We start from the raw sequence: 26,779 nt of genomic DNA on the forward strand, positions 1-26,779 counted from the left end.
GGCAGAGGGTCTCCTCACTTCTCAGACGGGGTGGCCGGGCAGAGACGCTCCTCACCTCCCAGACGGGGTCGCGGCTGGGCAGAGGCGCTCCTCACATCCCAGACGGGGCGGCGGGGCAGAGGTGCTCCCCACATCCCAGACGATGGGCTGCCAGGCAGAGACGCTCCTCACTTCCTAGATGGGATGGCGGCCGGGCAGAGACGCTCCTCACTTTCCAGACTGGGCAGCCAGGTAGAGGGGCTCCTCACATCCCAGACGATGGGCGGCCAGGCAGAGACGCTCCTCACTTCCCAGACGGGGTGGCGGCCGGGCAGAGGCTGCAATCTCGGCTCTTTGGGAGGCCAAGGCAGGCGGCTGGGAGGTGGTTGTAGCGAGCCGAGATCACGCCACTGCACTCCAGCCTGGGCACCATTGAGCACTGAGTGAACGAGACTCCGTCTGCAATCCCGGCACCTCGGGAGGTCGGGGCTGGCGGATCATTCGCGGTTAGGAGCTGGAGACCAGCCCGGCCAACACAGCGAAACCGTCTCCACCAAAAAAATACGAAAACCAGTCAGGCGTGGCGGCACGCGCCTGCAATCGCAGGCACTCGGCAGGCTGAGGCAGGAGAATCAGGCAGGGAGGTTGCAGTGAGCCGAGATGGCAGCAGTACAGTCCAGCTTCGGCTCGGCATCAGTGGGAGACCGTGGAAAGAGAGGGAGAGGGAGACCGTGGAGAGGGCGAGGGCGAGGGCGAGGGCGAGGGAGAGGGAGAGGGAGCTATGTACCCTTTTTTTGAGAAAGTACATCTGGTTAAGTATGTATTTTTCATTGAAAACTAAAGTTAAATCAGGACTGATGGCATTTTCCGACTGCATTTGGTAAAAAATAAATGCCAAAAATATTAGATTGAAAATGCCAAGATAAAACTTCCTTACCTTCTGTATTGTAAAAGTTTCAAGAATAATTTAAAGATTTTTGCACAACACAGAAAGTGCAAGTTATCGTCTATAGTTAATAATTAAATAAAACAGTTTATTAATGGTAGGTAATAAAGGTGCTTAGTAAAACAGATGGTTCTCCAGTTCCCCAGGCTCAATGAGCAGGCAAAGATCCTTTTAGGCAAAAGACATTTTCACATCTAACAGTAACATCTCTGATGGTCAGGCAGGTCAAACAATCACTTGGCGGGAAATAGATAAATACAGACTAAATTCGCACAATCTGTTTCTGTTTAGTTTATAAACTGCGATCCAGAGTGTCAGCTTTCGTGCCTTGTGGGACTTGAAGTCCAGAAGGAAGAAGTGATCAGGGCTGCCGAGGGATGGAAGCGTGCAGCCCCTGCAGGTCTGAGACCTACGAACTACAACTCCCGGCAAGCATCGGAAGGCCGCGTCGTAATTGCGGGCAACCAATCGTACCAGAGCAGGGCAAGCCCCCGCCCTCTGGCTCGGTGGAAGGCCTCCGCCAATGGCAGAGCTCCCATCGCAGAGCCTGCGGGTTAGGTTGTGAGGCCCGGGCCGGGGGCGGGGAGGAGCCAAGGGGGCGAGCAAGCTCGGTGGCTGGGTGGGTTGGGGCGTTCCGCGCGCCCTTCATTGAAGCGGCGGTGGCCGGGCTGGGCGCCGGTAGTGGAAAGCGACGGCGCGGCTGGAAAATGCCAGTCCATTCCCGAGGGGATAAGAAGGAGACCAACCATCACGATGAGATGGAGGTGGACTACGCCGAAAATGAGGGGAGCAGCTCCGAGGACGAGGACACTGAGAGCTCGTCGGTCTCCGAGGATGGAGATAGCTCAGGTGCGCGACCCACTGCTGGGACCCTGAGTCCCCGCGCCCAGCGCGCGACAGGCCGCTCTCCGCACGCCAGGCGGCTGCGTCCTGCTGGGAAAGCGGGGCGGGGACAGAGGGAAGGGGCGGAGACTGGCTCTGGGCCCTGGGCTGCACCCTGACCGGTCGCTGGGCGCTGTCTGGCTCCTGATGGGTCCCGGCGGCGGGGCGGGGCGGGCCTGGGCTTGTCCAGCTCCCAAACGCGGCGTGGTCCTGCCCCCGGTGGTGCTCTGGAGCGACCAGCCCAGGCGGACAACTTCCCGCAGCAGACAAACTGGAAATGCCTCCTCTCCCCAGCCCACCGACCTCTTTCCCTATTTTCACCTTTGCAACCCTCACTTCTCAGCGCAAGTGAGTTGCCGGGACAGAGGGTCGGCTTAGTAATTAACCTCAGTTTGCAAGTCAACTTGCCGGTCAGCACTTTTACATCAGTGTCTTTTCGGGGGCTAACTTGAGAGCGGTCCCGTTCAGTAGCTCCCTGAAGTTTGCAAGACTGAGAGGAAGGGACCAACATTCGGGCTCATTTTGGATCTTCATATGCTTATAAATTGGCTGAGTTTTGGCAGCGTTGAAAATTCTCCAAGTCTTTTCTTCCCTTCAGTTTTTTCTAACTTTGGGCTGTTTTAAATTATTTTGGGTGGGGGAGGAGGGCAGATTAACACTACAAATAAATTTTGCAAACTTTTAGGAATGGTTATTCTAAAGTGAAATGGAATTTGTGATTACCGGGATTATTTTCTTTCGATTCAAATGATGGAGATGAGACTGACTTCTTTGTCTTGGCCTGATTTTGGTCATGTAAAGGAAGCATTGATGATAGGTTGATGACAGCCTAGTATCACCCAGATGCCCTCTTTTCATGTTTCCCTTGCAAAGCAAATCTCCATGGAAGGATATAATTTCAATCAGTAAATCAGCCATCCAAAAATATTTATGAGTGACTTCTTTGTGCAGCACTGGACAGTACTCAATATGAGGGATAAATAGTTATTATCTGGGCTCACTTAAAAAGCTATCATAAGTCACCACTTGATTAAATTGCCAAATGAATGCTTAACTAAATGTTGCTGTAGGAATTCAGAGGCAGAGGAAATCGTTTCAATATTGGGTGGTCACAAAGCCTAGCTGAAGAAGGTGGGATTACCTTAATTATCTTGAAGAATGAGTAGAATTTGGTTTGGGGTGGTGGGTATCCCTGCAGGGAGAGGGATGTAAGAAAAAGTACAAGGGCCAGAGTTTGGGGCTTATTCAAAAGAGCGTGAAAACCTTGGGAGAAGGAGTTGAGCTCGGAAAAGAACAGGAAAGTATAGATGTGAGTGATTTCAAAGAAAGCACAAAACAGGATTGATGAATGCAAGTTTAGGATTGAAGGTAAGAGAAAAACCAAGATACAAGGAGAGTGGCGGTAGCATCAACAGAAATAGAAAAGTGAAAGATTTGAGATGAAGGTGAAAGAAAAGAGTATTTCAGACATGTTGCTTTTTTTTTTCTTTTCTCTCTTTGAGATGGAGTCTCGCTCTGTTGCCCAGGCTGGAGTGTAATGGCGTGATCTTGGCTCACTGCAACCTCCGCCTCCTGGGTTCAAGCAATTCTCCTGCCTTAGCCTCCCGAGTAGCTGTGATTATAGGCGGGTGCCACCACACCAAGCTAATTTTTTGTATTTTTAGTAGAGACAGGGTTTCTCCATGTTGTCCAGGCTGGTCTCGAACTCCTGACCTCGTGATCCACCCACTTCAACCTCCCAATGTGCTGGGATTACAGGCATGAGCTACCATTCCCAGCCTTTTTTTTTTTTTTTTTTTGAGAAGGAGTTTTGCTCTTGGCACCCAGGCTGGAGTGCAATGGCATCATCTTGGCTCACTGCAACCTCCACCTCCAGGGTACAAGCAATTCTCCTGCCTCAGCCTCCCGAGTAGCTGGGATTACAGGCATGCGCCGCCACGCTCAGATAATTTTTGTGTTTCACCATGTTGGCCAGGATGGTCTTGAACTCCTGACCTCAGGTGATCTGCCTGCCTCGGCCTCCCCAAGTGTTAGGATTATAGGTGTGAGCCACCGTGCCTGGCCGACGTGTTGCTTTTGGAGTGATGGCAGTATGCTTAAGATTGCCCAACTGACAAATGGAAATGTGACATTGGAACCTGCCCGATATGGGAAGGGGAGAATAATTTGTAAGTCATCTGCCTTGCCATGAAAGTAGGTGAGATTTCAAAAGCGGGGAATATAGAGAAAGGAGACTGTATGGGAATATATTTCTTTTTTTTTTTTCTTTTTTTTGAGACAGTCTTGCTCTGTCACCCAGGCTGGAGTGCAGTGGCACGATCTTGGCTCGCTGCAACCTCTGCCTCCTGGATTAGATTCTCCAGCCTCAGCCTCCTGAGTAGCTGGGATTACAGGCATCCTCCAACACACCCGGCTAATTTTTGTGTTTTTAGTAGAGATGGGGTTTTGCCACGTTGGCCAGGCTGGTCTTGAACTCCTGACTTCAAGTGATCCACCCGACTCTGCCTCCCAAAGTGCTGGGATTACAGGCGGGAGCCACTGCACCTGGCCTGTTGGTGAATATGTTTCTTAGATCTATAAAGTATTTTGTCTTCAGATGTTCTTGCATTTATGATAGGAGCAAGGATCTCATAAAATTCTATTTGTTAAAATTCTCCCCCTATAATTTTTATGTTGACTCTTGTGATTTTTAACTTTTAAAAATTCCATCCCAAAAAATAATGAACAACTTAATTTTTGAAGAATGTGATAATAATTTGAACTACAAGTCAAAATTTTAAGTGCAAAGAAATTGTTTAAATAAATTTTGCAGTTTGCTTCTGTTAAAGCATCTCTGTTCTACCATATGTCTTTCATGTTAAACTTTCACAGTGTTTTCTTCTCAAATGTTGGTGCTGAGCAAATTCTAAGGCTACGGAAAAGCCTCTACTATCCAGAGAACTTGGATAGTGAGTCATCTTGAGGGACCAAGTTTTGAGTAGCCAAGAAGTAAGCAATCAAAAGCCAGAAGTATTTTTAATCTGTTTTAGAAAATGAGAAAAAAATGAGTCAGCCTTCCATGTTATATAAAAATAATTGAACATGATTTAACTCTTTCTCATAGTTTGACTTTTATTTGATGAAGATCAAGATGCAGATCATTTTGTGCTTCAGTTATTTTGATGAATGAATATATGTGATATGAACATAGAAAATGTGGACTATAGGACAGACCTGGTAATTAACAGTTGCTTTCCTTAAAAAGTTTGTATTTTCCTCCTCATTTGCCTCTTTCTCACTGATAGTAATATGGGTAGACGGAATAAGGGAACGTAGGAATGGCAGACCAGGAGAGCCTGTGGTAAACATAATAAGATTAGTTTTCCTTTTTCTTTTTCTTTTTTTTTCCTTTTTTTGAGATGGAGTTTCGCTCTTGTTGCCCAGGCTAGAGTGCAATGGCACGATCTTGGCTCACCACAACCTCCACCTCCTGGGTTCAAGCGATTCTCCTGCCTCAACCTCCCAGGTAGCTGGGATTACAGGCATGTGCCACCACGCCCAGCTAATTTTGTATTTTTAGTAGAGATGGGTTTTCTCCATGTTGGTCAGGCTGGTCTCGAACTCCTGACCTCAGGTGATCCGCCTGCCTCAGCCTCCCAAAGTGCTGGGATTACAGGAGTGAGCCACCATGCCTGGCCTTTCTTTCACTTTTTATTTTTGAGACAGGATCTCTGTTGCCCAGGCTGGCGCAATCTTGGCTCACTGCAACCTCTGCCTATCAAGTTCAAACGATCCTCCCACTTCGGTCTCTCGAGCAGTTGGGACTACAGGCATCCACCACTATGTCTGGCTAATTTTTGTATTTTTATTAGAGATGGGGTTTCACCATGTTGCCCAGGCTGGTCTTGAACGCTTGAGCTCGAGCAATCCTCCAGCCTCAGCCTCCCAAAGTGCTGGGATTACAGGCATGAGCCACCACACCCGGCCACTTTTCTTTTTTTATGTGACAGGCAAATCAGCCATGTGAGCAGTTCTGAAAGAAGAATCCCAAAAATGTTTTTGAGCAATGTTAGCCTTTAAAGGACACAGTCATTTTGGTGCTACATTCTGGTGAGTTGGTGGAAAACAAACCAAATGTGGGCTAATTACTTTATAGTTATAGCTTATAGTCAGTCCTTTAAAGTGATTTAAAAATGAATAAAAGTAAGAGGGTCTAGAGACCAGTATAGTTTTATATACTCATCTGTATTTTAGATTAAATCTATAGTGGATTTTTTTTTTTTTTTTTTTTAGACTAGGTCACTCTGTCACCCAGGGTGGAGTGCAGTGTCACAATCATGGCTTACTGCAGCCTCCAACTCCTGGGCTCAGGCGATCCTCCTGCCTCAGCCTCCTGGTAGGTGAGACTACAGGCTCATGGTACCGTGCCCAGCTAATATTTTTATATTTTGTAGAGATGGGGTCTTCCTCTGTTGCCCAGGCTGATCTTGAAGTCCTGGGCTCAATCTGTCCTCCTGACTTGGCCTTCCAAACTGCTGGAATTAGAGGCATGAGCCACTACGCCCAGCAGAAATTATTATTTTTGATAAATCTTGTTTATTTTCTTTTAAGGCTTAATATAGGTCTTCTCTTCATATTACAGTTTTTCTTCCTATTTGAATTACGTTCAGATATATTTGAGATGTTCAGATAAATTTGAAAATTAAGTTTATCTTTTATATTTGCCTTTTTATTAACAGAAATGGATGATGAAGACTGTGAAAGAAGAAGAATGGAATGTTTGGATGAAATGTCCAATCTTGAAAAACAGTTTACCGATCTCAAAGATCAGTAAGTAGTGACTTTAGAAGGCCATTGTCACTGAATCTCAACCTTGTCACTTGTATACTAGCACAAGAGCAACTAGATTCAGTCTCAGCTGTTTTGTATTTTATGCGACAGACCAATTTGAAAGAGGCTTCAACTATTGTTTGTCTACTAAAGACCTCATTAACTAAACTGAGGGTTTGGAGGCAGGGTTTTTTTGTGGGCTTGAACCCAGGAGTTGGAGACCAGCCTGGGCAACATCGGAAGACCTGGTCTCCATAAAATATTTAAAAATTAGCTGGATGTGGTGGTACGTGCCTGTGGTCCCAGCTACTTGGGAGGTTAAGGCAGGTGGATCAATTGAGCCCAGGAGGTCAAGGCTGCAAGTGAGCTGTGCTCGTGCCATTGCACTGCAGCCTGGGCGACAGAGTAAGACACTGTCTTAAAAAAAAAAAAAATTAGTTCTGTCCTGCAGGATTATTGCCAAAAATAAACACTGAGTTGTATCATACTCTAAAGGTATTGGTGACAGCTGGCAAATTAGAGTATTTGTAAGTGGCCTTATAAATAGGAGTAACAGGGACCTCCTGCCCCATTTTTGAGTTCCTTGTTCATTGAGCAACTAATTTTGTTATGGCTTCTTCATTTGTAGTTGAGACAAACTTAGTATGTCAGGTCATAAAAACATTGGTTTTACCTTCATTAGTCTACTTCCTCTTTGCTCTTTTAAAAAATTAAGTAGGCTGGGCCGGGCACGGTGGCTTACGCCTGTAATCCCAGCATTTTGGGAGGCTGAGGCGGGTGGATCACGTGGTCAGGAGATCGAGACCATCCTGGCTAACACGGTGAAACCCCGTCTCTACTAAAAAATACAAAAAAAAAAAAAAAAAAAATTAGCCGGGCGCCTGTAGTCCCAGCTACTCGGGAGGCTGAGGCAGGAGAATGGCGTGAACCCAGGAGGCGGAGCTTGAAGTGAGCGAGATTGCGCCACTGCACTCCAGCCTGGGTGACGGAGCGAGACTCCGTCTCAAAAAAAAAAAAAAATTAAGTAGGCTGAATACAGTAATACTGACTCCTTTTCAGGAACGGTAGAGAGAAGCCAAGTAATTATTTATTTTGACAACTGGTAATGTCTATTCAAAATGATTTCTTTGTTTCTTTTAAACTCAGTGTTTAAATGACCTTTTCTCTTAGAATTGGTTTTATTGTTCTGTGGTTAAAACAAAAACAAACATTAATAGTGCCAAAAAGTAGTTATTTCAATTTTATTTTTTTGTATTGGGAATTGACCATTAAAGAGTGATAGATAGATACCTGTTTTGTGATTATGTGCATAAAGTCAAATAATGTAACTGAGTTCTCTGCTTGAGATCAAGGCAAAATATATTTGATAGATTATTAGAATATAAATGATATTGGGAACAAATAATGTATAGAAATGGCAAATTGTTAGCCTTTGTTGAGATTTTTAAATTAACATATTAATTTTTGCTTTGTTAAGACTTTATAAAGAACGATTAAGTCAGGTGGATGCAAAACTACAAGAAGTCATAGCTGGAAAAGCACCAGAATACTTGGAACCGCTGGCAACTTTACAGGAAAATATGCAAATTCGTACAAAGGTAGCAGGTAGGAAAGTGAAGAATCTTTTCCATATATAGAATGTAAACTCTTCAGTAGCTTTAAAAGGTGTTTATCAAGTAAGTGTTTTATGTTGATGGGATTACAAGCATATTTACATCGACCAGAATATTTTACTTTTAGTTAGCCCACAGTTACTGTATTTATTGAATACCTCTTGCTTTGCTCTGCTGCTGTAGGGGATTAAAAAAAAAAAAAGCCCTCAAGTTGTTTACAGTGTTGTTGAGAAGATAGTTCCACATTTGGTGAAACAACTGGAAACCATGATACTTTCATTAAGAGAGACTGTTACTATCACATTTTAATTCCCTATTAGATAAAGTTTAAGTGTTCTAGGCATTTTTTTAATACGTAAAAGTGATAGGATTTTTTTTAATTTATAAAAAATTTTAAAAATGTTTGATCAGGATATTATAGAACAGGAAACTTGCCTTGAACTAGATGATTTAATTTTTCCTTTTTACTTTGATAAGTTTGGTTACTCATTTGTGGCTACAAATAAACAAAGATGCACTATATTTGTATGGTTACATTTCAGTCTTATGTTTGTAAATAGGATCCAGCCTCAGTATCATGTCCTGGCACTCATAATCAAGGGATATATATATGATTTTTCATAGTCAAAAACTAAACTTTAATTAGTGGAGATGCTGGTTGTTTTTCTCTTATGTGGCACTAATTGACCCTTATGTACCTGTTAGATAATACCTAAGGCATTGTTGATAATAAGTTCTTTTTACTAAACCCTCCTTTAACCAAATTTTATTTTTGAGTGCTTAATATTATGTAGATGATATGATACTCTTCACTGCTATCTTTACATATTGACAACATACCCTTAGAAGTAAAAATATCCCTAATTTTCTTTGTTCTTTTAGATTACATGGATGATCAGGAAATATTACTTGAGTCGATTATTTACTTTTCTACTCTGGCCTCTTTTATATTTTGATTTTGCAGAGTAGTGTGTGTGAATGTGTTGCTGATGACGTAGTTCCAGATATCTGTCTCTTGCCTTTACTATACAAAGAGAGATAATTACATTTCTAGGGCCAACTATGGCATAAAGCTTAGAATACATATCCAGAGCTCTTTGCGTGCCGTTTTTGTAGTGACATATTTGCATGGCCATGTTACCTATTTTATACTATTGTCCTGTTAGGGTCTAAGTTAAACTATCTTGGGTATCCATCCTCTAGATAAAGTCCTGTCAGGAGCACTCCAGACATAATTGATTTTGTTATATCAGTTTATATACATTTACTCCTCGTGGATTCTTTGGATTGAAAATGATAGTTAAAAAAAAAGTGGTTTTGGTGGGGTATAGTATCTAGCTGTTACTCTGAGTATATGTGATTGATGACACCAGAGTTTATTATCTCCATTTCTATTTTGAGAAACTTGAGAGATTGTTTTTCACAGGAAAAGAGTTTTATTTTCATTTTGATTATTCTGTATCAAACATTTAGGAGTAATCTTTAGAAGAATAGATTAAGAACAAAAACTAGCAGTACAGTTTCTTTCTAGCTCTTATAATTTCTAATCTTTTTGGATATATATTTTAAGTGAGCCTTTTATTTTTAGTCTTTAAAGACAAAGTTAGACTCACTTTTCAATTTTTTCTTGATCCATCTTATTAAATACAGTGAGGACAGAATTCCTGTAGGGAAGTGATAATGGAACTTCTCATTGCTAACATAATCAGAGTAATTGTGTTTGGTTGCAGGAATCTATAGAGAGCTCTGCTTAGAATCTGTAAAGAACAAATATGAATGTGAAATTCAAGCTTCTCGCCAGCATTGTGAGGTACTGTCATTTTGCATAACTTTTAAGCTAATTTCATCTCTTCAAGCCTTTTCTGAGTGTAGTAGTTAAAAAAGTAAACTAAGTAAAACAATATTAAATAGTACTTTAGCTCATCATTTGTGTGTGATTAAAAAAAAAAAAGAATAGAGTTGCATTGGAAGCTGTATTGGAGATAGGACACAAAGAAAGGACCATAGAAAAAAACTGAGATAATTTTAGAAGTTTTGCAGCTGTTACTTTAAAAAGACTTTGCAACGATTATGTCACCTGGCATTACTGAAAATATTAGTATAATTAGTATAATGTGGATTAGATTTGCGAAATATACACTCAATGGTGCAGTTAGGATGTTGGGCTATAGAATTAGTTTCTGTCTGTCTAGACCTATTTCCACATCTTTGGGCAGAATTCTCTATTTATGGGAAAAAAAATAGGTATATTTTTCTGTATATTCTGTTTATTTTGCATTTAACCCATTTATGCTGAAGGTTGCAATTTTTTTGTGTGTGTGAAAAATCAGATCTTGGTGATGACCTTGAGCAGTAGGATATAAATAACTCCCACAAGCTTAACATTCCAGTAATGGAACACTAGGCATAAATGGGTTAAAATATTTATAGCATTTAAAAAACATAGTGCCCAGGCATGGTGGCTCACACCTGTAATCCCAAGAGTTTAGGAGGCTGAGGCGAGAGGATTTCTTGAGCTCAGGAAGTCAAGACCAGTCTGGGCAACATAGTGAGACCCCCCACCTCTACAAAAAATAGAAAAATTAGCTGGGCATGGTGGCAGGTGGCTGTAGTCCTAGCTACTCAGGAGGCTGAGGTGAGGGGATTGCTTGACCTTCGGAGGTTGAGGCTGCAGTGAGCTGTGATTGTGCCACTGTTCTGCAGCCTGGGTAACAGAGTGTCACCCTGTCTCAGAAATAGCAACTACAACAACAACAAACAAAAAAACCCCATAGTGCCCGTTTTGCAGATAACTTTTTATCAAATCTAGACAAGATTATAGATATACAGGTAGAAATAAGAGGACAAGTTCTATAACGATTCTTCTGTCACTTTAATGTGCCGTAAACTAAGAGTAGTTAGGTATAAAAATGATAGAGCTCATTGTTTCATTTTCATAATTACAACTGAGATTGATTATCTTTTTGGCGTTTACTAGCTGCTTGGATATTTTTTCCTAAGAAGTGCCTATTTGTATTTCTTGCCTTTGTGTTGGCTTTTAGTCTTTCCCTCATTGACTATATAAGTTCTTTATATATTCTGGCTATAAATGCTTTGCTGGTTGTATGCTTTGCAAATCTTTTTGCCCAGGTGGTACGATGTTTTCACTCTTTCTGATGACTTGCTGCAAAGAAGTTTTACATTTTAATGTAGTTGAATTTATTATCTTTTTATTTATGGGATGTGTTTTGTTTTCTTTTGTTTTGAGACAGGGTGTCACTCTGTCACCCAGGCTGGAGTGCAGTGGCATGATCATGGCTCACTGCAGCCTCTACTCCCCTGGCCTCAAGCCATCCTCCTGCCTCAGCCTCCTGAGTAGCTGGGACTACAGATGCATGCCATCACACCCAGCTAATTTTTAAAATTTTTTGTAGAGAAGCGGTTCCACTATGTTGCCCAGGCTGGTCTCAAACACCTGGGCTCAAGCAGTCCTCCTGCCTTGGCCTCCTGAAGTGTTGAGATTACAGGTGTGAGCCAAGGATGTGCTTTTTGTGTCTTCCTATTTTGAGGTAAAAAGATGTATTTTCCTTTAAAAGTTGAAATTTTGCTTTCAATATTTAGATTGCAAAACTACCTTTAATTAGTTTTTGTGTATGGTATAAAGTATGGTTCTAGGCTGGGTGTGGTGGCTCATGCCTGTAATCCCAGCACTTTAGGAGGCCGAGGCGGGCAGATCACCTGATGGCCATTTTCACGATATCGATTCTTCCTATCCATGAGCATGGAATGTTTTTCCATTTGTTTGTGTCCTCTCTTATTTCCTTGAGCAGTGGTTTGTAGTTCTCCTTGAAGAGGTCCTTCATATCCCTTGTAAGTTGTATTCCTAGGTATTTTAATCTCTTTGTAGCAATTGTAAATGGGAGTTCACTCATGATTTGGCTATCTGTTTGTCAGGAGTTCAAGACCAGCCTGACCAATATGATGAAACCCTGTTTCTACTAAAAATACAAAAATTAGCTGGGTGTGGTGGCATGCGCCTGTAATCCCAGGTACTTGGGAGTCTGAGACAGGAGAATTGCTTGAACCCAGGAGGCGGGGGTTGCAGTGAGCTGAGATCGTGCCATTGCACTCCAGCCTGGGCAACAAGAGCAAAACTCCGGCTCAAAAAAAAAAAGAAAAAGTATGGTTCTAATTTTATTTTTTTGTGTATATGGATAGGTAATGTCAACACTATTTATTACATACACCCTTGTTTCCCCAGAACTCAGCAATTTTCTCTCTTTTGTATATCAAATGCCCATATATGAGCTGGCCTGTTAATAACCTTTTTCATTTATTCCATATGTTTCATTTGTTCTGTTTGGCTATTTCTGCACCAGTATCATAGTATCTTTTTCTATTGCTTTTAGTCTAGTAAGTCTTGATAACTCTGTGACTTGATACTCTTACTTTGCTCTTTTTCTTCTTCTTTTTTTTGAGGCAAGTTCTTACTCAGTTGTCCAGGCTGGAGTGCAGTGGTGTGATCCTGGCTCACTGCATCCTCTGCCTCCCGAGTTCAAGCGATTCTCCTGCCTCAGCCTCCCAAGCAGCTGGGACTAGGCATGTGCCACCATGCCTGGGTAATTTTCTTTTTTGTATTTTTAGTAGAGACGAGGTTTCACCATGTTGGCCAAGCTGCTGTCGAACTCCTGACCTCAGGTGATCCGCCTGCCTTGACCTAAAATGCTGGGATTACAGGCTTGAGCCACCATGTCTGGCCCCAATTTTAATTTAAAAAAATTACTTTTTAAAAAAATTATACTTCAAGTTCTAGGATACGTGTGCAGAATGTGCAGGTTTGTTACATAGGTATACATGTGCCATGGTGGTTTGCTGCATCCATCAACCCATCATCTACATTAGGTATTTCTCCTAATGCTATTCCTCCCCTAGCCCTCCACCCTCCCACAGGCCTCGGTGTGTGATGTTCCCCTCCCCGTGTCCATGTGTTCTCATTGTTCAACTCCCACTTATGAGTGAGAACACGCGGTGTTTTGTTTTCTGTTTCTGTGTTAGTTTGCTGAGTATGATGGTTTCCAGCTTCATCCATGTCCCTGCAAAGGACATGAACTCATCCTTTTCTATGGCTGCATAGTATTCCATGGTGTATATGTGCCACATTTTCTTTATCCAGTCTTTCATTGATAGACATTTGGGTTGGTTCCAAGTCTTTGTTATTGTGAACAGTGCCACAATAAACATACATGTGCATGTGTCTTTATAGTAGAATGATTTATAATCCTTTGGGTGTATACCCAGTATTGGGATTCCTGGGTCAAGTGGTATTTCTGGTTCTAGATGCTTGAGGAATTGCCATACTGTCTTCTACAATGTTTGAACTAATTTATACTCCCACCAACAGTGTAAAAGCTTTCCTATTTCTCCACATCCTCTCCAGCATCTGTTGTTTCCTGACTTTTTAATGATCACCATTCTAACTGGCGTGAGATGGTATCTCATTGTGGTTTTGATTTGCATGTCTCTAATGACCAGTGATGATGAGCTTTTTTTCATATGTTTGTTGGCTGCATAAATGTCTTCTTTTGAGAAGTGTCTGTTCATATCCTTTGCCCACTTTTTGATGGGGTTGTTTTTTTCTTGTAAATTTGTTTAAGTTGCTTGTAGATTCTGGATATTAGCCCTTTGTCAGATGGATAGATTGCAAAAATTTTCTCCCATTCTGTAGGTTGCCTGTTCACTCTGATGATAGTTTCTTTTGCTCTGCAGAAGCTCTTTAGTTTAATTAGATCCCATTTGTCAATTTTGGCTTTTGTTGCCATTGCTTTTGGTGTTTTCATCATGAAGTCTTTGCCCATGCCTATGTCCTGAATGGTATTTCCTAGGTTTTCTTCTAGGGTTTTTATGGTTTTAGGTCTTATGTTTAAGTCTTTAATCCATCTTGAGTTAATTTTTGTATAAGGTATAAGGAAGGGGTCCAGTTTCAGTTTTCTGCATATGGCTAGCCTGTTTTCCCAACACCATTTATTAAATAGGGAATCCTTTCCCCAATGCTTGTTTTTGTCAGGTTTGTCGAAGATCAGATGGTTGTAGGTGTGTGGCATTATTTCTGAGGCCTCTATTCTGTTCCATTGGCCTATATGTCTGTTTTGGTACCAGTACCATGCTGTTCTGGTTACTGTAGGCTTGTAATATAGTTTGAAGTCAGGTAGGATGATGCTTCCAGCTTTGTTCTTTTTGCTTAGGATTGTCTTGGCTATATGGGCTCTTTTTTGGTTCCGTATGAAATTTAAAGTATTTTTTTCTAACTCTTTGAAGAAAGTCAATGGTAGCTTGATCAGAATAGCATTGAATCTTTAAATTACTTTGGACACAATGGCCATTTTCACGATACTGATTCTTCCTATCCATGAACATGGAATGTTTTTCCATTTGTTTGTGTCCTCTCTTATTTCCTTGAGCAGTGGTTTGTAGTTCTCCTTTAAGAGGTCCTTCACATCCCTTACAAGTTAGATTCCTAGGTATTTTATTCTCTTTGTAGCAATTGTGAATGGGAGTTCACTCATGATTTGGGTCTCTGTTTGTCTATTATTGGTGTATAGGAATGCTTGTGATTTTTGCACATTGATTTTGTATCCTGAGACTTTCCTGAAGTTGCTTATCAGCTTAAGGAGATTTTGGGCTGAGACGATGGGGTTATCTAAATATACAATCGTGTCATCTGCAAACAGACAATTTGACTTCCCCTCTTCCTATTTGAATACCCTTTATTTCTTTCTCTTGCCGGATTGCCCTGGCCAGAACTTCCAATACTATGTCGAATACGAGTGGTGAGAGAGGACATCCTTGTCTTGTGCCGGTTTTCAAAGGGATTGCTTCCAGCTTTTGCCCATTCAGTATGATATTTGCTGTGGGTTTGTCATAAATAGCTCTTATTATTTTGAGATACATTCCATCAATACCTAGTTCATTGAGAGTTTTTAGCATGAAGTGGTGTTGAATTTTATCGAAGACATTTTCTGCATCTATTGAGATAATCATGTGGTTTTTGTCATTGGTCCTGTTTATGTGATGGATTACGTTTATTGATTTGTGTATGTTGAACCAGCCTTGCTTCCCAGGTATGAAGCCGACTTGATTATGGTGGATAAGCTTTTTGATGTGCTGCTGGATTCGGTTTGCCAGTATTTTATTGAGGATTTTCATATCGATGTTTATCAGGGATATTGCCCTGAAATTTTCTTTTTTGTTGTGTCTCTGCCAAATTTTGGTATCAGGATGATACTGGCCTCATAAAATGAGTTAGGGAGGATTCCCTCTTTTTCTATTGTTTAGAATAGTTTCAGAAGGAATGCTACCAGCTCCTCTTTGTACCTCTAGTAGAATTCGGCTGTGAATCCATCTGGTCCTGGGCTTTTTTTGGTTGGTAGGCTATTAATTAGTGCATCAGTTTCAGAACTTGTTATTGGTCTATTCAGGGATTCGACTTCTTCTTGATTTAGTGTTGGGAAGGTGTGTGTGTTCCGGAATTTATCCATTTCTTCTAGATTTTCTAGTTTATTTGCATAGAGATGTTTATAGTATTCTCTGATGGTAGTTTGTATTTCTGTGGGATCAGTGGTGATATCCCCTTTATAATTTTTTGTTCTATTTGATCCTTCTCTCTTTTCTTCTTTATTAGTCTGGCTAGTGGTCTATCTAAAACCAGCTCCTGGATTCATTGATTTTTTTTGAAGGGTTTTTTTGAGTCTCTTTCTCCTTCAGTTCTGCTCCAATCTTTGTTATTTCTTGTCTTCTGCTAGTTTTTTGAATTTGTTTGCTCTTGCTTCTCTAGTTCTTTTAATTGTGATGTTAGGGTGTCGATTTTAGCTCTTACCCGTTTTCTCCTGTGGGCATTCAGTGCTATAATTTTCCCTCTAAACACTGCTTTAGCTGTGTCCCAGAGATTCTGGTATGTTGTGTCTTTGTTCTCACTGGTTTCAAATAACTTATTTATTTCTGCCTTAATTTAGTGATTTACCCAGTAGTCATTCAGGAGCCGGTTGTACAGTTTCCATGTAGTTGTGCAGTTTTGAGTGAGTTTCTTAATCCTGAGTTCTAATTTAGCTGCACTGTGGTCTGAGAGACTATTATGATTTCTGTTTGGCATTTGCTGAGGAGTGTTTTACTTCCAATTATGTGGTCAATTTTATTTTTTATTTATTTTTTTAAATTTTATGTTATTTTATTTTATTTTTTTTTGAGATGGAGTCTTGCTCTGTCCCCCAGGCGCAATCTCGGCTCACTGCAAGCTCTGCCTCCTGGGTTCACGCCATTCTCCTGCCTCAGCCTCCCGAGTAGCTGGGACTACAGGTGCCTGCCACCACGCCAGCTAATCTTTTGTATTTTTAGTAGAGATGGGGTTTCACTGTGTTAGCCAGGATGGTCTCGATCTCCTGACCTCGTGATCTGCCCGCCTTGGCCTCCCAAACTGCTGGGATTACAGGCGTAAGCCACCGTGCCTGGGCTATGTGGTCAATTTTATAATAAGTATGATGTAGTGCTGAGAAGAACATACATCCTGTTGATTTGGGGTGGAGAGTTCTGTAGATGTCTGTTAGGTCTCCTTGGTCCAGAGCTGAGTTCAAGTCCTGAATATCCTTGTTAATTTTCTGTCTCATTGATCTGTCTAATATTGACAGTGGGATGTTAAAGTCTCTCACTATTACTGTGTGGGAGTCTCTTTGTAGGTCTCTAAGAGCTTCCTTTATGAATCTGCATGCTCCTGTATTGGTTGCATATATATTTAGGATAGTTAGTTTCTCTGGTTGCATTGATCTGTTTACCATTATGTAATGCCCTTCTTTGTCTTTTTTGATCTTTGTTGGTTTAAAGTCTGTTTTATCAGAGACTAGGATTGCAATCTCTGCTTTTTTTTTTTTTTTTTTGCTTTCCATTTGCTTGGTAAATATTCCTCCATCCCTTTATTTTGAGCTTATGTGTTTCTTTGCACGTGAGATGCGTCTCCTGAATACAGCATGCTGATGGGTCTTGACTATCCAGTTTGCCTGTCTGTGTCTTTTAATTGGGGCATTTAGCCCGTTTACATTTAAGGTTAATATTGTTATGTGTGAATTTGATCCTGTCATTATGATGCTGTCTGGTTATTTTGCCTGTTAGTTGATGCAGTTTCTTCATAGCGTTGATGGTCTTTACAATTTGGTATGTTTTTGCAGTGGCTGGTACCAGTTTTTCCTTTTCATATTTAGTGCTTCCTTCAGGAGCTCTTGTAAGGCAGGCCTAGTGGTGACAAAATCTCTCAGCATATGCTTGTCCATAAAGGATTTTATTTCTCCTTTGCTTATGGAGCTTAGTTTGGCTGGGTATGAAATTCTGGGTTGAAAATTCTTTTCTTTAAGAATATTGAATATTGGCCTCCACTCTATTCTGGCCTTTAGGGTTTCTGCAGAGAGATCCGCTGTTAGTCTGATGGGCTTCCCTTTGTGGGTAATCTGACCTTTCTCTCTGGCTGCCCTTAACATTTTTTCCTTCATTTCAACATTGGTGAATCTGATGATTATGTGTCTTGGGGTTGCTCTTCTCGAGGAGTATCTCTGTGGTGTTCTCTGTATTTCCTGAATTTGAATTTTGGCCTATCTTGCCAGGTTGGGGAAGTGCTCCTGGATAATATCCTGAAGAGTTTTTTCCACCTTGGTTCCATTCTCCCTGTCACTTTCAGGTATGCCAGTCAAACGTAGGTTTGGTCTTTTCACATAGTCCCATATTCCTTGGAGGGTTTGTTTGTTGCTCTTAATTCTTTTCTCTCTAATCTTGTCTTCATATTTTATTTCATTAAGTTGATCTTCAATCTCTGATATCCTTTCTCCTCTTTATCAATTCAGCTGTTGATACTTGTGGATGCTTCATGAAGTTCTCATGCTGTGTTTTTCAGCTCCATCAGGACATTTATGTTCTTCCCTTAACTAGTTATTCCAGTTAGCAGTTCCTGTAGCCTTTTATCAAGGTTCTTAGCTTCCTTGCATTGGGTTAGAACATGCTCCTTTAGCTTGGACGAGTTAGTTATTACCCACCTACTGAAGCCTACTTCTGCCAATTCGTCAAGCTCATTCTCTGTCCAGTTTTGTTCCCTTGCTGGTGAGGAGTTGTGATCCTTTGGAGGAGAAGAGGCGTTCTGGTTTTTGGAATTTTCAGCCTTTTTGCACTGGTTTTTCCTCATCTTCATGGGTTTATCTACCTTTGGTCTTTGATGTTGGTGACCTTTGGATGGGGTTTCTCTGTGGAGGTCCTTTTTGTTGATGTTGATGCTATTCCTTTCTGTTCGTTAGTTTTCCTTGTTAACAGTCAGGCCCCTCTGCTGCAGGTCTGCTGGAGTTTGCTGGAGGTCCACTCTAAACCCTGTTTGCCTGGTTATCACCAGTGGAGGCTGCAAAACAGCAAAGATTGCTGCCTGTTCCTTCCTCTGGAAGCTTCGTCCCAGAGGGGCACCTGCCAGATGCCAGCTGGAGCTCTCCTGTATGAGGTGTCTGTCCACCCCGGCTGGGAGGTGTCTCCCAGTCTGGAGGCACAGGGGTCAGGGACCCACTTGAGGAGGCAGTCTGTCCCTTAGCAGAGCTTGAGCGCTGTGCTGGGGGAAGATCTGCTGCTCTCTTTAGAGCTGGCAGGCAGGAATATTTATGTTTGCTGAAGCTGCGCCCATAGCCACGCCTTCCCCCAGGTGCTCTGTCCTAGGGAGATGGGAGTTTTATCTATAAGCCCCTGACTGGGGCTGCTGCCTTTCTTTCAGAGATGCCCTGCCCAGAGAGGAGGAATCTAGAGAGGCAGTCTGGCTACAATGGCTTTGTGGCACTGCCGTGGGCTCTGCCCAGTTGCAACTTCCTGGTGGCTTTGTTTACACTGTGAGGGGAAAACTGCCTACTCAAGTCTCAGTAATGGTGGACGCCCCTCCCCTCACCAAGCTCAAGTGTCCCAGGTCAACTTCAGACTGCTGTGCTGGCAGTGAGAATTTCAAGCCATTGGATCTTAGCTTGCTGGGCTTCATGGGGTTGGCATCTGCTGAGCAAGACCACTTGGCTCCATGGCTTCAGCCTCTTTTCGAGGGAAGTAAATGGTTCTTTCTCGCTGGTGTTCCAGGTACCACTGGGGTATGAAAAAAAGCTCCTACAGCTAGCCCGGTGTCTGCCCAAAAGGCTGCTCAGTTTTGTGCTTGAAACCCAGGGCCCTGGTGACGTAGGAACCCGAGGGAATCTCCTGGTCTGTGGGTTGTGAAGACCATGGGGAAAGCGTAGTATCAGGGGCAGAATGCACCATTCCTCACGGCGTGGTCCCTCATGGCTCCCCTTGGCTAGGGGAGGGAGTTTCCCAACACCTTATGCTTCCCAGGTGAGGTGATGCCCTACCCTGCTTTGGCTCGCCCTCTGTGGGCTGTACCCACTGTTTAACCAGTCTCAGTGAGATGAACCGGGTACCCTAGTTGGAAATGCAGAAATCACCCGCCTTCTGCGTTGATCTTGCTGGGAGCTGCCGACCCGAGCTGTTCCTATTTGGCCATCTTGCCAGCCACTGCCAAAAAATTACTTTCATGTGGTGATGCGCGCCTGTAGTTCTAGCTGCTTGAGTTGCTGAGGTGGGAAGATTGCTGAGTCCAAGAGTTCAAGACCAGCCTGGGCAACATAGCAAGACCCCATCACTAAAAAAATTACTTTTTATTTTTTGCTGCTATATCAAAAATAATTTTGTATATTGATATCATATCCAGCCAGCCACCTTACATACCTCTCTTTTTTAATTAATTAATTTTTTTTAAACTTTAGAGACATGGTCTCACTGTATCGCCCAGGCTGGAGTGCAGTGGCCTGATTATAGCTCACTGCAGCCTTGAACTCCTCTGCTTAAATGATCCTCCCACCTCAGGCTCGTAAGTAGTTAGGACTATAGGCATATGCCACCACACCTGGCTAAATAAAAATTTTTTTTTGTAGAGATGGGATCTCACATATTGCCCAGGGTGGACCTCTGTTCTTAATTCTAATAATTTGCATGCAGATTTTCTTATTTTCCATGTAGATAATAATGTCATTTGTGAATAATAGCAGTTTGTTTCTTTTATTCTCATCTTCCTCTTATTTGTTTTACTTGTTTTAATGGCACTGATAGGACCTCCAATACAAAGTGAAATGGAAGCAGTGAAAGCAATCATCGTTGTTATATTCTTGCTCTTAAGGGAATGCTTCTAACATTTTTCCAACAAGTATGATATTTTCTTTTGAGTTTTGGTAAATGCTTTTTGTCAAGTTAAGGAAATTTCCTCTTCTTTTTTTCTCAGAATTTTTACCAATAGTTAAATTTTAAATGCTTTGTCTGCATCTATTGAATTAGTCGTGGTTTTATTCTCATGATCTATTGCTGTGGTGACTTAGGTTGTTAATGGATTTCCTAATGTTAAACTATTCTTGGATTCCAGGAATGATTCTTTTTCTTCTGTGTTTGCAAGTGAGATTTAATTGTCAATTCTCATACTGTCTTTTATTTGATTACAAGATTCATAAACTGAGTTAAGAATATTCTGTATTTTTCTCTTCCATAGAAGTATATATTTAAGAGTGCAGTAGTTCCGTGAGTGTTTTGTACATCTTGTCTTTGTGATATACACATACACACACACACATTTTTTAGAATTGGGGGGTTTTACTGGGTTGCCCAGGCTGGAGTGCAGTGGCTGTTCACCAGCGTGATCATAGTGCACTGCAGCCTTGAATTCCTGGCCTCAAGCAGTCCTCCCATCTCAACCTCCCGAGTAGCTGGGACTATGCCACTGCACCTGGCTATGATATGGATTTTTAATAGTGTCATACTCAATAAGTTGTAAGAAAGTAGATAGAACTCATTTTGGTGAATTATTTGAGAGTGAGTTTACAGCATGATGCACTTTTACCCCTGAGTCCTTTAATGTATATTAGAAACAAATGAGGAACATTCTTTTACATAACCAAAGTATAGTCATCAAAGTCAGGAAATGCGTTGGGTGCAGTGGCTCATGCCTGTAGTCCCAGCGCTTTGGGAGCCTGAGGTGGGAGGACTGCTTGAGCTCAGGAGTTTGAGACTAGCCTGGGTAACAAAGCAAGACTCTGTCAAAACAAAACAAAACAAAACAAAAACAAAAAAACTGGGCATGGTGGCACACACCTGTAGTCCCAGCTACTCGGGAGGCTGAGGCAGAGGATTGCTTGAGACCAGGATGTTGAGGCTGCAGTGAGCCATGATCGTGCCACCACACCCTAGCCTTGGTGACAGAGTGAGATCCTGTCTAAAAAAAAAAAAAAAGAAAAAAAAATCAGACCACATGTTGTCATTGTCACTGCATTTAGTTTTCATGTCTTTTTAGTCTCCTTCAGTGTGAAACAATTCTTTAGTCTTTTCTAAACTTTCATGATCTTTACATTTTTGAAAATTTCAGGCCAGTTATTTTGTAGAATGTTCCTCAGTTTTGAGTTGGTCTGCTATTTCTTCATGATTAGAATCAGGTTTTGCAACTGGCAGAAAAATCCCAGCAGTGATGCTGTGTTCTTCTCATTTAATTCTGTCAAGCAGTACACAGTTTTGATATGTACTATTATTGGTGATATCCACTTTGATCACTTGATTTAAGTGATGTCTTCCAGTTTCCCCAGGTAAACTTACTTTTTTCCCATTGTGATAAATATTTTGAGGAGAAGGACTTTGAAACTATGCAAATACGTTGTTCCTCATAACACATTCAATTAATTTATATAAATATGGACTCCTTTTTTAAACTCATTTTTTGGTCTACTTTATCTTTCCCTTACTGAGGGAAACATGTCAGAATTTCTGTGATGGTGGATTTGTTTATATTGCTGTTTTTTTAAAAAAAAACACAAAAAAATAAAACGCAGGGTCTCCCTTTGTTGCCTAGGCTGGAGTGCAGTGGCGTGATCATAGCTCACTGCAACATCTGCCTCCTGAGTTCAAGCGATCTTCCCACCTCAGCATCTCCAGTAGCTGGGACTGCAGCCATGTGTCACCAGCCTGGCTACTTTTTATATTTATTTTTTTGTAGAGATGGGGTTTTGCCATGTTGCTCTGGCTGGTCTCGAACTCCTGGGCTCAAGCGATCTGCCACCTTGGCCTCCCAAAGTCCTCAAATTACAGGCTGAAGCCACTGCACCTGGCCATCTCTTTGTATTTTTATTTCAGTTCTTTTTCTTCTTTCTTTTTTTAGAAACAGGGTCTCTGTCATCCAGGCTTGAGTGCAGTGGCATGACCTAGCTCACTGAAGCCACAAACTCGAGCTCAAATGATCCTGCACCTCAGTCTCCCAAGTACCTGGGACTATAGGTGTGTGCCACTGTGCCCAGCTAATTTTTAAAAATATTTTGTAGAGATAGAGTCTCACTTTGTTGCCCAGGCTGAGTTTCCTTCTTTATTTCCTAAAAAGTCCAACGTATCATTCTCTTCAAAATAGTAAAGTCATTCACCATTTGAGATTTGGAGGCCAAAGGTACTAATGATGAGGTGCAATACAGTTAGCTATAGGCACAATGTTGTATGGCAGATCTCTGGAACTTAATCATCTGGCATACTGAAACTTTATACCTGTTGAATAGCAACTCCCCATTTCCCCCTCCGCCACACCTGGCAACCACCATTGTATTCTCTGCTTCTGTGTGTCTGACTAGTTTATATACCTCACACAAGTGGTATCATCCACTATTTTCCTCCGTGACTGGCTTATCTCACTTAGCATGATGTCAATATGCTGCTGATAATGATAGGATTTCCTTCTATTCTAAGGCTGAATAATATTCTATTGTATGTATTGACTACATTTTCTTTTCCCCATTCATCTGTCTGTGGGTATTTAGGTTGTTTCCACATCTTTGCTGTTATAAATGGTGCTGCAATGAATGTGGGAGTACAAATATTTCTTTGAGATCCCGATTTCAATTCTTTAGGTTTAATACCCAGAAGTGGGATTGCTGGATCATATGATATTTTTTTCAGGATGCTCCAGACTGTTTTCTTTTTAAAAAAGCAATTAATTTTAAATTGACAAATGTTAAAATTGTATATACTTAAGGTGTATAGCATGATGTTTTGATATATGTATATGTTGTGGAATGATTAAGTCGAGTTAATTAACATATCCGTCACCTCACGTACCATTTGTTTTGTGATGAGAACATTTAGAACCTACTCTCTTAGCAAGTTTCCAGTATACAATACATTATTATTATTATTAGTTTTTTTTATTTTTAGAGATGGGAGTCTTTCTCTGTTGCTATGTGAGTCTTTCTGTGTTGCTCAGGCTGGCCTTGAACTCTTGGCCTTAAGTGAGCCCATTGCCTCAGCCTTCCAAGTAGCTGGGACTACAGGTGTGCACCACTGCATCTGGCTACAATACGTTATTATTACCTTTCATAATATTATCCTGCACAGTAGATCTCCAGAGCTTATTCCCCCTGTCTAACTGAAATTTTGTACCCTTTGGTGAACATTTCCCATACCCTGCCCCACTGCCCACTCCCACATTTCCTGGTAACCACCATTCTACTCTTCTATGAGTTTGATTTTTTTTAGATCCTACATGTAAATGAGATCATATTTATCTTTCTATGCCTGACTTATTTAATGTTAGTAATGTCCTCTAGGTTCATTCATGTTGTCGCAAGTGACAGGATTTCCTTCTGTTTTAAGGCTGAATAGCATTCTGTTGTGTGTATATATATCAATTTTCTTTATCCATTCATCCATTGATGGACACTTAACATTTCATCAATGGATGAACTTCCATATCTTGGAGGTGAATAATGCTGTAGTGAACATGGGAGTGCAGATATCTTTGACGTACTGTTTCATTTCCTTTGGATATATACCTAGAAGTGGAATTGCTGGAAATTGTATTTTTTTTTCTTTTTCTTTTTCAATTTTTTATAGAGACAGAATCTCACTGTGTTGCCCAGGCTGGTCTCAACTCCTGGGCTCAAGTGATCCTCCCACCTTGGCCTCCCAAAGTGCTGGGATTACAGGCATGAGCCACTGTACCCTGGCCTGTAGTTGTATTTTTAAATTTTTGAAACCTCTGTACTGTTTTCCATAATGGCTGTACTAGTTTAAGTTCCCAACAGTGAACAAGGGCTCCTTTTTCTGCACATTCCTGCTACCAACACTTGTTATCTTTTGTCTTTTTGTTTGTTTGTTTTTGAGACAGTCTTGTTCTGTTGCCTAGGCTGGAGGGCAGTGACACGATCATAGCTTACTGCAGCCTCAAACTCCCAGGCTCAAGCAGCTCTCTCACCTCAGCCTCCCAAGTAGGTAGGACTATAGGCATGTGCCACCATACCTGGCTAGTTTTATTTTATTTTATTTTATTTTTGTGGAGATGGGGTCATGCTGTGTTGCCCAGGCTGGTCTCAAACTCCTGGCCTCAAGTGATCCTCCCAGCTTGGTCTCTCAAAATGTAGAAATTACAGGCATGAACCACTGCACCCAGCTTGTTACCTGTCTTTTTGATAATGGCCATTCTAACGGGTGTGGGATGATAAATCATTGTTGTTTTGATTTGCATTTCCCTGATGATTAATGATATTGAGCATCTTTTCATATACCTGTTGTCCACTGTATGTTTTTGGGGGAATGTCTATTCAAGTCTTTTGCCCATTTTAAAATCTGATCATTTGGGCTTTTGCTACGGAGTTGAATATTTTCTTTCTGTCTTTCTTTTTTTTTTTGTTGACACAGAGTGTCGTTCTGTCACCCAGGCTGGAGTGCAGTGGTGTGATCTCGGCTCACTGCAACTTCTGTCTCCCGGGATCAAGCGATTCTCGTGCCCCAGCCTCCCCAGTAGCTGGGGCTACAGGCATGTGCCACCAGGCCTGGCTAATATTTTTTGTATTTCTAGTAGAGACGGGGTTTCACCGTGTTGGCCAGGCTGGTCTTGAACTCCGATCTCAAGTGATCCACCCGCCTCGGCCTCCCAAAGTTCTGAGATTACAGGCGTGAGCCACTGTGCCCGGCTGAAGAATTTCTTATATATTTTGGATATTATTGCCTTTTCAGATATATGGTTTGCAAATATATTCTCCCATTTAGTAGGTTGCCTTTTCTTTTTTTTTTTTTTTGAGATGGAGTTTCGCTCTTGTTGCCCAAGCTGGAGTGCAATGGTGTGATCTCGGCTCACCCCAACCTCTGTCTCCTGGGTTCAAGCGATTCCCCTGCCTCAGCCTCCTGAGTAGCTGGGATTACAGGCATGCACCACCATGCCTGGCTAATTTTGTATTTTTAGTAGACATGGCATTTCTCCATGTTGTTCAAGCTGGTCTTGAATTCCGATCCACCTGCCTCAGCCTCCCAAACTGCTGGGATTACAGGCGTGAGCCACTGTGCCCGGCCTTCAGTAGGTTGCCTTTTCACTCTGTTGTTTTCATTGCTGTGCAGAAACTTTTTAGTTTTGGTAGTCTCACTTGTCTATTTTTGCTTTTGTTGACGTGCTTTTTGTGTCATATCAAAGAAAGCAGTGCCAAGACCAGTGTCATGAAGCTTATCTTCTACGTTTTATTCAAGGAGCTTTACAGTTTCAGTTTTATGTTTCAGCTTTTACATTCAGCTCTTACGTTTAAGTCTTTAATCTGCTTTGATTTTATTTTTGTGTGTGTTGTACAATAAGGGTCCAGTTTCATTCTTTTGCATGTGGATATCCAATTTTCCCAACGTCATTTTATTTTTGGATTTTAACATTGATTTAATAATCTTATTTAATATACAGTTCTTACAAAAGTTGTCCCCCAAAACGTCATTTAGTTTTGTTTTGTTCAGTTTTATTTTTCAACTAATCCTAGACCCACCCAAGGATCAAGCACAGAATTTGGTTTCTTGTATCTTTTGTTTCCTTCACTTCTTAGCTCCCTCTTATTTATTGCTTTGCCTTTCCTGGTCTTGACATTGTTGAAAAGTCCAGGAAGATTATCTTGGAGGTTTCACAGTCTGATTTGTCTTTTGCTTCCTCATGATTAGACACAGATTTAATATATTTGGCAAGAATAGTTTATGGATAATGTCCTGTACTTCCCATTACCATCTGGTGGATTTGTTTCATTACAAGTTATTATTTGATCCTTTGGTTAAGGTGAAACCGCACAGGTGTCAGTCTACAGGAGAAAGGTTGAATAAACTCTGCTACATTCCTGCAATGGAGTACCATGAGGATGTAAAAAGGAATGAGGAAGATTTCTATGAATTGACATGAAGTGATTTCCAGATGTCTAAACAAAAAAGCATGCCAAAAAAAAAAAAAGAGGTGTAGATACTATGCTACTCTTTAAAAAAGAGGGATGGAAATATAAATGCTTGTCTATATTGCTTGCTTATTTTTGTGAAAAGAAGTACAAAAAGCTAGTGAAAAAACCTACAGGAGACCTACAGGAGAGAGAGAGGAAGGGCAAGAAGACAGGAGGAGGATTAAGATTTCTTTTAAGAATTCCTTGGCATGTGGTTTTAATTTTTAAGCATACAAGTGTTTTTCATAGAAAATATAATAAATTGAGAGAAATAAGTGTTGGAA

General features: G+C 41.5%; 1 protein-coding gene across 4 annotated transcripts in view, besides 2 other annotated features; it reads left to right on the forward strand.

Moving 5' to 3' along the window:
• Positions 1,454-26,779, forward strand: part of BRMS1L (BRMS1 like transcriptional repressor) — a 45,626-nt gene continuing 20,300 nt past the window's right edge. For 2 of the 4 annotated variants that reach the window (XM_005268128.2, NM_032352.4), the window contains exons 1-4: positions 1,454-1,774; positions 6,526-6,616; positions 8,094-8,221; positions 9,960-10,039. In XM_005268128.2, the coding sequence (XP_005268185.1) occupies positions 1,633-1,774; positions 6,526-6,616; positions 8,094-8,221; positions 9,960-10,039 (441 nt within the window). In that variant the 5' untranslated portion in view covers positions 1,454-1,632. Of the gene's footprint in view, positions 1,775-1,990; positions 2,156-4,910; positions 5,024-5,796; positions 5,897-6,525; positions 6,617-8,093; positions 8,222-9,959; positions 10,040-26,779 lie in introns of those variants that run through there. The other 2 variants (XM_047431806.1, XM_017021705.1) reach the window with 2 other exon arrangements.
• Positions 1,495-1,594: a silencer, noted in NCBI's record as "silent region_5680". NCBI's record gives its function as "represses an Ori minimal core promoter by ATAC-STARR-seq in GM12878 lymphoblastoid cells {active_cell/tissue: GM12878}" and the evidence as "EXISTENCE:reporter gene assay evidence [ECO:0000049][PMID:35858748]".
• Positions 1,845-2,014: a silencer, noted in NCBI's record as "silent region_5681". NCBI's record gives its function as "represses an Ori minimal core promoter by ATAC-STARR-seq in GM12878 lymphoblastoid cells {active_cell/tissue: GM12878}" and the evidence as "EXISTENCE:reporter gene assay evidence [ECO:0000049][PMID:35858748]".

Source organism: Homo sapiens, chromosome 14 (genome assembly GCF_000001405.40).
Source record: "Homo sapiens chromosome 14, GRCh38.p14 Primary Assembly".
NCBI classification, from domain to species: Eukaryota; Metazoa; Chordata; class Mammalia; order Primates; family Hominidae; genus Homo; species Homo sapiens.